Consider the following 14,111-nt stretch of genomic DNA (forward strand, 5'->3'; position numbering starts at 1 on the left):
AGGGGGCATTAGCAGACTACCTTCTATTTTACCATTTTGGTGACATCAGTCCTTCTATGATTCTCTTTATCATATTTATAAGATTATCTCATTTGTCCAACAAATTTAATCTCACCGTATCTGAGAGACCCACTGTTGGTTGCCATGGAGGTTCTATGTTGAAAATAATACCAAAAAAAGATGAATATAAATTTGAACTATCAAATTCTATGGACAACTCAATAAAAATGTTTTATTCATTTCTTAGTTATTGAGCAGGAAGTCTTAAAGTATCGAATTATCTATTATTAAGACAGTATATATTTAAAATATTTTATTAAAATTTGATTTGAATGATCAATAATTCAAAATTAATCATTAAAATAACTATGTACTCATTGTTATTACTCTCAACTAAAACTGAATAAATTGAAAATTACAGAGGATTAATGACCTCATCAAGGTCATAGAGGTAGTAAATGGAAGGGTACTTAATCATGAGGCTATTTAAGTGTCATGGTGAATTCACAAACTGGTTACAGAAAGAGTTGAGATGGTTCATGTCAAAGTAGGTGGCTCCCTATTCTTACAACTATAGCTGGCATTACTGTTTATCAACACTGACAAGCTTGTCACATAATCTAACACTGGTGTAAGTTCATGACAAAAGTCTCTTTTGAAAGGTCTTTAGACACAGATGTCTCTTTGCTGGGATCTGTGAACTGAATCATGGTTACAGAAAGGCTGACAATCTTTCAGCAGGGCCTGATGGTGAACTTCAGCAATTATGACAGTTTTCACAGTTGCTTAGCATCGAGACAGAGAATCTGAAAGGTGGTTTTTTGGGGACTTCACAGAAAAAATGTCCTCTAGTGATAAATGGAATAAAGTCTAATAATGTGCTGAAAGATTCTCTAAAGGGCGGAGCTTATTTGGGGGAAGTTTCTGAATTATAACATCTGCCACCTTGCATTTTAGAGAGCTTTTGTCTGTGAAGGCTAAAAGAATGGCCACTTGTAGAGTATACTTGAAAAAGAATTAGGTTTAGTCTAAATTGTATCATTTGACCTTCAGGATCTCTTTCAGTCCTAGGTGGAAGACAATTTTAAGGAAAAAAAACCTACTCTTTCATACCTCACCATTTTCGTTTCCATAAATTGTCCTCCTTTCATCAGCTCATCTCTGAAATTCTACAAGGAGGTAAGTGATAAAAGCAATTTATCTTCTTTTGCCAACTATCTCACCTGCTTAGCAATGAGTATCTTAAAATAGAGGGGTAATACAACCTTTATCTTACAGAAAGGATGTAGGAAAATCACAGATAAATAATTATTACAATTCTAATTTATTAGGGATATGTGAAAGAAAATTATATCAAAGTAGTGAAAGAAATGAAGAGGAATTAATTGCTTTTTAGTTATTTATCAAATACTAGCTTTGGGCTAGGCACAGTTCTAGAAATGAGATATAGCAGTAAATGAAAACAAAAAAATTCTACATATCTGTGGGAATATAAAAAATGTGCATGTAAGCCAATAACTGTCAGTTGGTGATAAGAATTATGAAGAAAAAAACAAGTAGGATGTTAGAGAGTAATGAGGGGCTGGGTTATGTACTATTTTCTATATGATGGTCTTGGGAAGCTTCTTGGATGAGGTGACATTTGAGCATAATGAATGCTATGCGGAACCATAGCATGTGGATATCTAGAGAAAAACAATCTAGGCAGAGGGTACAGCAAATGTAAATGGCCTGCAGTGGGACTATCCCTTTGATATCTGAGGAAGAGCAAGGGGATCAATGTGGCTGTTGAAGAATGTGTCAAGGAGAGGTGATGGTATCAGAGAAACAAAAGGCCATGTATTAGTCTGTTCTCATACTACTATAAAGAACTCCCCAAGACTGGGTAAATTATTAAAAAAGAGGTTTAATTGACTCACAGCTCCACACAGCTGGGGAGACCTCAGGAAACTTACAATCATGGTGGAAGGGGAGGCAGTCACATCTTATATGGCCACAGGCAAGAGAGGGTGTAACAGAAGTGAAGAGAGAAGAGCCCCCTATGAAACCATCAGATCTCATGAGAACTCACTCACTATCATGAGGACAGCATGGGGGAAACCACCTCCATGATCCAGTCACCTCCCATCAGGTCCCTCCCTCAACACACAGGGATTAAAATTTGAGATGTATTTGGGTAGAAACACAAAGCAAAACCATATTATTTTGCCCCTGGTCCCTCTTAAATATTACATCTTTCACATTTCAAAACTAATTATCTGAGACAAGTCAAGTCCCTTCCACCTAGGAGCCTGTAAAATAATAATAATAATAATAATAAAGTTAGTTCCTTCCAAGATACAATGGGGATACAGGCACTGGGTAAATACACTCATTTGAAATGGAAGAAATTGGCCAAAACAAAGGTGCTACAGGCCCCATGCAAGTCCAAAATCCAATAGGGCAGTTATTAAATCTTAAAGCTTCAAAATAATCCCCTTGACTCCATGTCTCACGTCCAGGGCACACTGATTAAGGGGGCGGGCCCCCACAGCCTTGGGAAACTCCTTCATGGGCTGGTATTGAGTGGCCTGTGGCTTTTCCAGGTGCACATTGCAAGCTGTTGGTGGATCCAACATTCTGGGGTCTGAAGGTTTGTGGACCTCTTCTCATAGCTCCATTAGGCAGTGACCCAGTGAAGACTCTGTGTGGGGCCTCCAACCCCACATTTATTTCCCTTCTGCACCACCGTAGCAGAGGTTCTCCATGAGGGCTCTGCTCCTGCAGCAGACTTATGCCTGGACATCCAGGCATTTTCATACATCCTCTGAAATTCAGGTGGAGGTTCCCAAACCTCAATTCTTGACTTCTGTGGACTCACAGGCACAACAGCACGTGAAAGTCACCAAGGCTTGGGACTTACACCTTCTGAAACGATGGCCCAAGCTGTACCTTGGCCCCTTTTAGCCACAGCTGGAATGCATGGCATCAAGTTTCAAGGCTGTATACAGCAGTATGGCCCTGAGCCCAGCCCATGAAACCAGTTTTTCCTCCTAGGTCTCTGGGCCTATGATGGAAAGGGCTGCCTCAAAGATCTCTGACATGCCCTGGAGATATTTTCCCCATTGTCTTGGCTATTAATGTTTGGCTCCTTATTACTTATGCAAATTTCTGCAGCTGGCTTGAATTTCTCCCCAGAAATGGGTTTTTCTTTTTCTATTGCATCATCAGGCTGCAAATTTTCCAAACTTTTATGCTCTGCTTCCCTTTTAAACATAACTTCCAATTTCAGATCATCTCTCTCAAGTTTAAAGTTCCACATATCTCTAGGGAAGAGGCAAAATGCCACCAGTCTCTTTGCTAAAGCATAGCAAAAGTGATCTTCATTCCAGTTCCCAGTAAGTTCCTCATCTCCATCTGAGACCACCTCAGCTTGGACTTCATTGTCCACATCACTATCAGCATTTTGGTCAAAACCATTCAACAAGTCTCTAGGAAGTTCCAAACTTTCCCACATCTTCCTGTTTTCTTCTGAGGCCTCCAAACTGTTCCAACCTCTGCCTGTTACCCAGTTCCAAAGTTGCTTCCACATTTTCTGCATCTTTATAGCAGTACCTCATTGCCTCAGTACCAATTTACTGTATTAGTCTATTTTAACACTGCTATAAAGAACTACGAATTTTAAAGAAAAGATGTTTATTGGACTCACAGTTCCACATGGCTGGGGAGGCCTCAGAAAACGTATAATCATGGTGGAAGGGGAAACAGGCATGTCTTACATGGCAGCAGGCAAGAGAATGTGTGAAGGAAGTGAAGGGGTAAGAGCACCTTATAAAACTATTGGATCTCATGAGAACACTCACTATCACAAGAACAGTATGGGGGAACCACCCCCATGATCCTATCATCTCCCACCACGTCCCTCCCTCAACACCTGGTGATTACTATTTGAAATGATATTTGGGTGGGAACACAAAGCCAATCCATATCAGGCCATGTAATATATAGGACCTTGTAGATCATATTCCAAGGTGTAGAATTTGAGTTTTATTCTAAGTGTAAAAGCCTTAGATGGTTTTGAGCAGAAGGGAAACACAATTATGAATTGAGTTGTAAGATAATCATGCTGCTCTCTGGAAATTAGACCATGAGTGGACAAGGATTAAAGTCCAGTGACCAATGAAAAGGTCCAATAAAATATCAATAGTTCAAATGAGGGACTGTGGGGTTTGGACTAATATCCAATTGAGAAGTGAGCAGGGATCAGATTTGGGGTAAACTGTAAACTATAGCTAACAGGATTTAATAATGGATTGGACATAGCGTATGAGACAAAGAATGTATTCAACAGTATTGTCAAGACCTTGGCTCACTGGCTAAAGAAACAGAGAAACAGTTAAACCGAGAAGATTAGAATCTCAGGTTTTTGTTTTGTTTGCTGTTGGTAGGGGACAAAGGGTCTAAAAGAGGGAGGACAGAGGGAGAGAAATGGGATCAATAATTTGGTTTCGTTCATGTTTTGTTTGAGATTCCTATTAGACATTTTAGTGGAAATACTGAGCAAGTACTGTATAACAAGTGTGGAGTTCAATAAACAAATGATTCTGGAGTTTTAAGTTTGTGACAGTTTTAGATGAGTTTTGGTTGAAAAGTCTTGACAGAATGTCAGGAAGGAGAAACCAGAGGCTGTCTATTGTCCTGAGAATTGCTTTCTGTTGGGATTTACCCTAATCTGGGGGATTTTTCAGCTAGGGCAGAGTTTTGTGCTTGTATTTAACTTAAAATGCTTCCTTCTAAACTACTTCAAATCTCAACCATGTCTCATAATGTTTACACATCTAAGTTCTGACCTCATGACTTTATCAAAGTAGACACTTAGTTCAACTAAAAAAATGGAACAATTTAAGCTGCTAGTATTAAATAAGTGTTCAGAGCACACCACATGTAGTTGATAGCTGTGGGCACTTAATTCATACTTTTGGTTGAATGAGAGGCTGATTGGCATTGAAAGACAATGTATTAATAGTCAAAGTAAATAAGCATTGTCTAAAATTTTAATATTGAATGTAAATTAATTTAATTTTTAAATTTTCTGGATTGTGCACGCTTTTACTTACTTTTTTTAAATAAGGAGAGTTTTAAAAGCCAGTAATAATAAAAACAAGTTTCAAAACATGTCCTGTTTAAACAATTAACAAAATAAACTTTCTTTAAAAGTTTGAAATTATCATTTTACACAAATTATTAATATATTCAATAAACAAAGCTTTTATATTTTAATTTAAAAACAATTTCTTCTGAAGAACATTTTTTACCCTAATCTTTTCTGTAGAACCATATTATTGATTCTGACAATTTACAATGTTCTTACTATATTAAATAGTGTAATTTAAACTATAAACCACATGACTTATAAAAACTGGATTAAAAAGTGCTTTTGAAAATGTCTTGCAAACTCAGTAAGAAAGTAATAAATATGAGGATTAAATCATGAAGTTATCACCACATTTTATTGTTGTCTTCTCCAGTAAACTCAAAATATAATGTGGAGACTGTTAGTCTTTTCTAGCTTTATTTTAATCATGTTCTAACAGATAATAAACTGAAAACATGGGAATTCAATAGAGGCATTATCTCAGGGCTCGAAATTATAAAAATTAAGACAATTTCCCTATAAATTTTTACAGTATTATAGGCAAGACACGCTCATATTCATATTTAATGAATATAAGTTATCAGATGCCTACTAAGTGCCAGGTACCAAGCAAGATACTTTCTCATTTCTCTGACAGTCTTAAGATGAGATTGTGTGGTTGTCAGGTACACAATGATACACAGAAACAATAACTGATTACATTCATCATGATGCAGTGATTTAAAATATCTATGACCTGCAATAAACTCAGAGAAAAAAAGCATGAATGGTACCCGTCTTAGAGGAAAAGAGAATCTTTATAAAAGCAAATTTTCTTTCCTTAACAAACCTATGGCTTAGGTTGGACAGAAAGGATTAATCCTAACCTTTTCTTTGTGGGATTTCTTTTCTTTTTTCGGAGTTGGACTCCCTCACAGTGAGGTGGCAGTTTAGACTTAAAACGATTAAACAGCATAGGAAACTTAATACCAACCTACTTAATTTCCTAGGATTCCTGGCTGGAATACTAGGCTGTTTTGTAAATGTACAACCTGAGATCACAGAGCATTGGAAGCTGCTTGTACAGAAGAAAAAGATCAGTACTTGAACTCAGAAGATCCATGTTTACATCTTAGCTCCGTTGTTTTTATGAGTTTGGGCAAAACTCTTCTTTTTTACAGGCCTCAATCTAACAATTTGTATAAAAGGAGATCAGTGAATATGTTAGTCAGGACTCTGTCTGAACTAAATGTAGAAATACACATCAAAATACATTAAGAAAATATTAAATGTATATGTTCATAAAACTGAAAATTCTAGGCTTATAACTCACTCTACGTGGGGCTGGATCAAGAGGCTTGATTTATGTAATCAGGCATTTTTCTTCTCCAGCCTCAGTTCTGCTCTTTTCATAGTTATGTTCATTTGATTTTTTATTGGCTCTAGGGTTTTTTATTTCATCTTCTAAATGAAGAGTTTTCTTCCCTGATAATTATAATAAAAGCTCTGAAATGGAGCCTCATTGATCTGACTTGAGTCATATACTCTACCTTAATCATTATACATTAGTTTATTAATTTATTTGCTAGTTACTATTTGAGCTTTACTATGTGATAGGCACTGTTCTAAACATTTGTGATACAATGACGAGCATAATATACATAAACATATAAAATAGCTGCTTTTATAAAGCATTCATTCTCATGAAACAGTCAGGCAATACAGTAATGCATGAATAAAAATATAATATTCTGTCATTCTTGTCATGTTACAAAGAAAAATAAAGCAGGGAAAGAGAATAGAGTGTCATAGGTGGCTACTTTATAAAGGGTGGTCAGAGAGGTCTTTTCTGGTAAGAAAATTCTTCTGGGAGAAAACTGATGCTGCGAAAAAAGCAGTAAGTTTAAGATGTGCACTTGTTACATCTCAGAAATAGCAAGGAGACTAGTATGGCCAGGTCAAGATGGTCTAGGAGGAGAGTAATAACGTATGAGGATGGGAAAGTAGCTAATGTCAGATTTAATTTTTTTTTTTTTTTTTTTGAGACGGAGCCTCGCTCTGTCGCCCAGGCTGGAGTGCAGTGGTGCCATCTCGGCTCACTGCAGGCTCTGCCTCCCGGGTTCACGCCATTCTCCTGCCTCAGCCTCCCGAGTAGCTGGAACTACAGGCGACTGCCACCACGCCCGGCTAATTTTTTGTATTTTTAGTAGAGGTGGGGGTTTCACCGTGTTAGCCAGGATGGTCTCGATCTCCTGACCTCGTGATCCGCCCGTCTTGGCCTCCCAAAGTGCTGGGATTACAGGCGTGAGCCACCGCGCCCGGCCCAGATTTAATTTTAAGTGATGTGGAAATCTTGGAGGATTGTGAACAGTAGAGTGATAAGATAATTACCTAACATGTCTTCCAAAGATCTTGCTGCTAGATAGAGAATAAACAGTAGGACCACAGTCAGAATGGTGTCACTGGGTTTTTACAACAAAGTAGCCCTGAGCCACAGACTGTCTTACTCATCTCTTTATACCATTTCTGTTTGGATAAAGATTTGACACATATTAAACACAAAATAACTAAACACAAAAGTAAACACAAATGTTTCATTGTAGAGTGAGTAGTTTCACTGATAACATTTCAGTAAAATTGCTTTGCTTCCAGTCTTATGAAGAACTAAAATAGCAAAGTGGCTGCATTTAGACTCATTTTTCAGTTTATTCTTTTTAGATAAAAAGTCACATCAACAGAAAATGTCCTTAATTCTGTAATATGGAATTCTCAATGCTGAGTCCATATATTATTCTGACAGACAGACACGAGGCAGGATGATATTTGAAAACGGGGAAAGGACTCTACCCAAATGTGTGCTTGAAATTGAAGATATAGGCTTTCATTTTACATATATATATATAATTTACATACATATGTAAATATATGTATCATATTAATTGTTATATTATCTATATATTATATATCTATATTTATATCTATATATAGATATGTATATATATATTATAGATATATAGATAATAATATAGATATATAATATATAGTATATAATATATAATATATATCTATATAATATATATCTATAATATCTATAATATAATATATAATATATAATATATATCTATATTATATATCTATACATAGATATTATGTAGATATTAATATATAAATATATAAAATATATATTACATATATTTATTTTTCAGATATATATATATACACACATATACACTCACACATATATACATACCTGAAAAAAAAAAAACCTTTACATTTATCCAGTATTTCTCATTTACAAAGGACATTCACATATGTCATTTGACTTCCACTGAAACTCTGTGAGTTAAGTTGGACACGTATCATGACTGAGACTGAAAGATAAGTTTGTCAAGGCTACATAGCTAATGAAGTAGGCAAAAGCTGGTTTTGATGGACAGCAACGTGGCCATCCATGAAACTAAACGCCCTAATTCAGTTGCTGCTGAATATGACCATGGACAACCATTCTATCCAATGAGACATAAAAATAGAGGAATTTATTTGTTTTAAAACATATTTCTTTATTGTCTTTTCCATATACTATCTGATATAAACAAAAAAGAATAGTTATGTAATATATGTAAGTCTTAAAGCATAATAGTTATATAATGAATACCTATGAACCCACTACCTAACCCAAGGACTAGAACGTTACCAACAATAACCATATACTTGTAACTTCTTTACCATCCTACTGCTTCTTTCAAAGGAAACATTATACTAAATTTTGTTATTCATGTCCATGCCTTTTCTTTACAATAGTTTGATCTCACATGTATATTATACACACACACACACACACACACACACACCTTAACAATGTATTATTTAGTTTTGCTAGCTACGAGTTAAAAATGATATTACGTGCAATGTGTCCTTCTGGGAGTTGCTTTTTTTTTTTTGTATTTGAGACGGAGTTTTGCTCTTGTTGCCCAGGCTGGAGTGCAATGGCGTGATCTCTGCTCACGGCAACCTCCGCCTCCTGGGTTCAAGTGATTCTCATTCCTCAGCCTCCCAAGTAGCTGGAATTACAGGCATGTGCCACCACGCCCAGCTAATTTTGTATTTTTAGTAGAAACAGGGTTTCTCCATGTTTCTCCCGACCTCAGGTGATCCGCGCGCCTTGGCCTCCCAAAGTGCTGGGATTACAGGTGTGAGCCTGGGAGTTGCTTTTTTCACTCAAAATTGTTTCTAAGAAAATATTCATTTTACATATAACTGCATCTATTTATTTTTTTCATTTTTACTGCTATAAAATGTTTCAATGTGTAAACACACCACAAATTATTTATCATTAAACCAGTGAAAATTTTAAAGGTTTCCAGTTTTCTTACTGTAGCTATAATTGTCATTCTTATACATGTACCCTGATATACATATAAGAGTTTCTCAAAAATATATGCTTATTAATGCATTTTAATATGAAGTTGGATGTTTAAATTTACAGTATAATGTTAGTATTCCTTTCAAAATTTATTAGATCAATTGGTGACCATCATTAATCCACATATGCTACAACACTTGGATGCATATCAGACATCTTATATTTTGTCAATCTTGTGGACATGAGTCTGGTTTAAAATTACATTTTTCATTAATTTTATTAAGGTTTTATTATTAAAGTTATTAATAAGATTGAGCATATTTTCACATTTTAATAAGCTTATATCATTTATCTTTTGCAAAATGCCTTTGCATGAATTTAGCTTTTTTTTCCATTTGATTGTATTTGTTATAATTGATCTATTGGTTTTTAAAAGTGTTCTCAATATTAAGTCTTTGTTTATTATATACTATGTGGTGGTTATTCTTCCTAATTTTGGATTGCCCCTTCTGATGTTTCTATTATGTATTTGATGAACAGAGTCCTTTACTTTAACATAGTTGTATGTAACTATTTTTTAAGGTTTTGTTTTTGTGTCTTATTTAATTAGAAAAATTCTTTAATTTATGGTAAGAAATTTATTCTTCTGTATTTTTTCTGAATTTTTTTTATATTTAAGTCTTTAACCTATGTAAAAGTAATTTTTGTGTATGGTATGGGTTAGAGACCATGTTTGTTTGTTTGTTTCCCCTGTAAATATCCACTTGCCCCACAGCATGTATTGAAGCATCCCTCATTTCTCTGTTGATCTGTAATACTATCATGTCTTATATCACAATTCCATACATGCTTAGGTCTATTTGTACTCTCTATTCTATCCCACTATTCAGTTTTCCACCCACTGAGGATTTATGAAAAAGTTTTGATTTTCTGATATATAGGTACCACTCATTTCTCCTTTTTGCCTTATCCTTCTTTTGCGTCTTCATCTTCTTGACTTGCATAAGGTGGTAAGAGTGAGGGTAGAGTAACCTTCCTGGAACCAAAATAACCATGAGAACGGAAGCCATACACTAAGAATGACAAGGAGAGAAGATGACTGAGCAATGATTTTACAAATTCATCAAGGCATCTGTCTACTACCTACCTTGGGACAACTTGGAATGTGAGAAAACCAAAGCTCTATTGGCTAATTCTCTGTACTTTCATGTGACATTCAGGAGGTATGCTGCTCTTCAAGTAAGAATCTTCCACGGAGTGGGAGTTGAGGGGTCGTGGGGGCGGGCAGTTTGCTGACAGCTTTTCGCTGCAGTGCTGTTGGCAGCTGCTGCAACTTTCTAGTTAAAGCCACACTTTTAACAGCTCACAGATAATGAGTAAATACAGAGGGGGCATTAGGAAGTGATCATTGCTGCCCAATGCAGGACTACTTTATGGACATCCTTTAAACAAGAACTCCCCATGGGCTGGCCACAAGGCTTTATAAGAACACTCAACAGCCTGAAGTTTTTCTGACACAATTCTCCTGCTTTCCTATTATCCATTCACAGGTGTCAGACCAGGCTGTATTTGTTAACTATAGCCCGTAGGCTAAAGCTGGTCCACAGCCTGTTTTTTGTATGGCCGACAAACTAAGAATGATTTACATATTTCGAAGAACGATACAAGCGACTGAATATTAGGAATATATGATAGACAATTTATGTGACCCACAAAGTCTGAAATATTTGCTCTCTGGTCATTTACAGAAAAAAGTTTGCTGATCCCTCCGATCCCTGGCAAAGACTTTTGCTATCTACTCCTGCTGCCTTTTCCTATTTTTTTTCTCCACAGGCATTAGCCATCATGCTTTTGCAAGTCTAACTCTGTCTTGGCATCCTCCTTCCCAGAACACTTAAACTGACACGTTTGGTTTCTATCACATTAAATTATAAAGATGCAATTATTAAAAGGGCAGATTCAGGGTCAGAATCCAGGGCTGGTCTGTGACCCTAACACACCAGATTTCTTTGATGATACTCTCACAGTGAAAAAAAGAATGAAAAATTTGAGAGAGAATAAAAGATGGATCCGGTAATGAGAAAAATAAATTTGGTTTCTGCCATTATTAACCAGCTAGCCTAGTGATATGTAACAATCAATCCAAATATCCAAAGACTGGGGCATATTTTCAACTTGACTCAATCCTGTGAAACTGAAGTTTCATTACTCTCTTTTCTTGAAATCCTTTTCTCCATTCTAGTTCTTCATATGCCCGTTTTTCTACTGCTTACTGGACATCTCTACTTGGATGCGCAATAGGCATGTTAAGACGACTATGTCCAGGTTGGGTGCGGTGACTCATGCCTGTAATCCCAGCACTTTGGGAGACTGAGGTGGATGAATTACCTGAGGTCAGGAGTTCGAGACCAGCCTGGCCAACATGGTGAATCCCAGTCTCTGCCAAAAATACAAAAATTAGCCGGGTGTGGTGGCTTGTGCCTGTAGTCCCAGCTACTCCAGAGGCTGAGGTGGGAGAATCTCTTGAACCCGGGAGGTGGAGGTTGCAGTGAGCCAAGATCGCACACTGCATTCCAGCCTGGGCGACAGAATGAGACTCTGTCTCAAAAAAAAAGAAGAAGAAGAAGAAGGGGAAGGAGAAATTATCATCATGTCCAAAATGAAATTTCTGACTTTTTTTCAAACCTGCTCTCTCTCAGTCTTTCCACTTTTGGTTTATGTCTGCTCCATCCTATGAATTTCTTAGGCAAAAAGCTTTGGAATCATTTTTGACAAGTCTTTTGCTTTCATACCTCACATCTAGTCAATCAGCAAAAGCAGTTGACTCTACTTTAAAGTAAATAATATCCAGATTCTAACCACTTCCTCCTATGACAGACTGCAATCATCAAGCCGTCTCTTGCCTGGATTATTGTAATAACCTTCTATATGAACTCATTGCTTCCCTCCTTATCTACTTACGGTCTATTTTTCAACACAACAGGAAGAATACTCTTACTACGTCTCAATTTAGATCTATGTTTCCTTTGATCAAGACTTATTATCTTTTGCTTTCATTCAAAGTAAAAGAGGAAGTCTTTAGAATGGTCTGTCATATCCTATATATTTTAAATCTCTTTCCCTTTATGCCTTCATTTTAAAATACTATCTTCCTAGCTTACTTCATTGCAGCTGCGTTGGCCCCTTTGCTCTTTTCTGAACATGTTGTACGTGATTCTACCTTGGGGAACTTGCATATGTTATTTCCGGAATACTTTCCTACCAGGTACCACTTGATTTGTTTCATCTCTTTTAAATTATTTCTTAAACTTCACCTTCTCATTGAAGACTTCCATTGCCACATTATTATAAACTGTTACCTTCCTCCAACCTTCTCAATAGTTCTTGGCTATTTAGTTTAGGATTATCACTGTTTAATAAGCTATATAATTAGTATATCCATTTTATTATCTGCATTCCTTACCTAGAATGTAACTTCCTGGAAGAAAGGAATTTTTGTCTATTTTATTCATGGCTGCTGGGTTGCACAACTCCAGGGGCACCATTTCCATTATTGCAGAAAATATACTGCGAATGTTAGATTCTTAAAAATATTATGTGAGGCCAGTGTGGTGGCTCACGCCCATAATCCTGCAGTTTGGGAGGCTGAGGTGGGTGGAACACTTGAGCTCAAGAGTTTGAGACCAGCCTAGGCAATATGGAGAAACCTCATCTCTAGAAAAAAATACAAAAATTAGCTGGGCGTGGTGGCATGTGTGGGTAATCACAGCTACTTGAGAGGCTTAGGCAGGAGAATTGCTTGAGTCTGGGAGGTGGAGGTTGCAGTGAAATGAGATCATGTCACTGGAATCCAGCCTGAGCAACAGGAGTGAAACCCTGTCTCAAAAAAAAATATATATATATATATATATGAATCAAACAATCAATCTATGTTTAGAAAGTATGTCTGGTAAGAGTATATTACCATATACTGAAATGGAAAATAAAGCACAAGTCAAAATTATTTTTACATGATGCTCTGTAAAAAAATAAAAAATAAGAATAAACCCCAAAGCCTATCTCTGGGAAAGGAAAAAGGGCTAGAGAAATCACATCAAATTATTTGAAAGTTCTACCTTTGGGTAATATGACTATTATAATATTTAAAATATTTATTTCCACTTTTCTGTATTTTTCTACTTTCTTCATTAATAAGTTTTAATTTTATTATCAAATAAATACATATTGTGGTAAAAAATTATCACAAAAAATAATTTTAAAACCACTGCCCTTGCTGCATTGAAGCTTATATATCTTTGCTGTATTTCACTCTCATCTTCCAGCAAGTATTCTCTGCTATTCCTCACCCTTGATCTAGATGTCTGCTTGACCCAGATCACCTATAGGCTGTTGGATTTTTTAAATAGAGTCAAGCAGCAGCAATAGACACTTAGAAAAAGCACAGCATTAATAGAAACAGGAAACTTAATTGACAAAAATGATTTCCAAAAAGAAGTAAAAGCCTCTTCAGCATAGCAATGTGTTCTATCCCAGGTCAGCTCAGTTAAGAGATCTGAGCACAGTTTTCAAACTTTATCTTTCCTAAATTGGTGTGTGGGGGGGTTTGGGTGTGTGTTCACTTTTTTTTCTATTTTG

At 36.2% G+C, this 14,111-nt stretch overlaps 1 protein-coding gene across 2 annotated transcripts in view; it reads left to right on the plus strand.

Annotated features, from left to right (window-relative positions):
* CLDN16 (claudin 16) overlaps positions 949 to 14,111 on the plus strand; it is a 121,778-nt gene continuing 108,615 nt past the window's right edge. For both annotated transcript variants that reach the window (NM_001378492.1, NM_001378493.1), the window contains exon 1: positions 949 to 1,179. The gene's annotated coding sequence lies outside the window, so the exon portion shown is untranslated. The remainder of the gene's footprint in view (positions 1,180 to 14,111) is intronic.

This window comes from Homo sapiens, chromosome 3 (assembly GCF_000001405.40).
Source record: "Homo sapiens chromosome 3, GRCh38.p14 Primary Assembly".
NCBI lineage: Eukaryota > Metazoa > Chordata > Mammalia > Primates > Hominidae > Homo > Homo sapiens.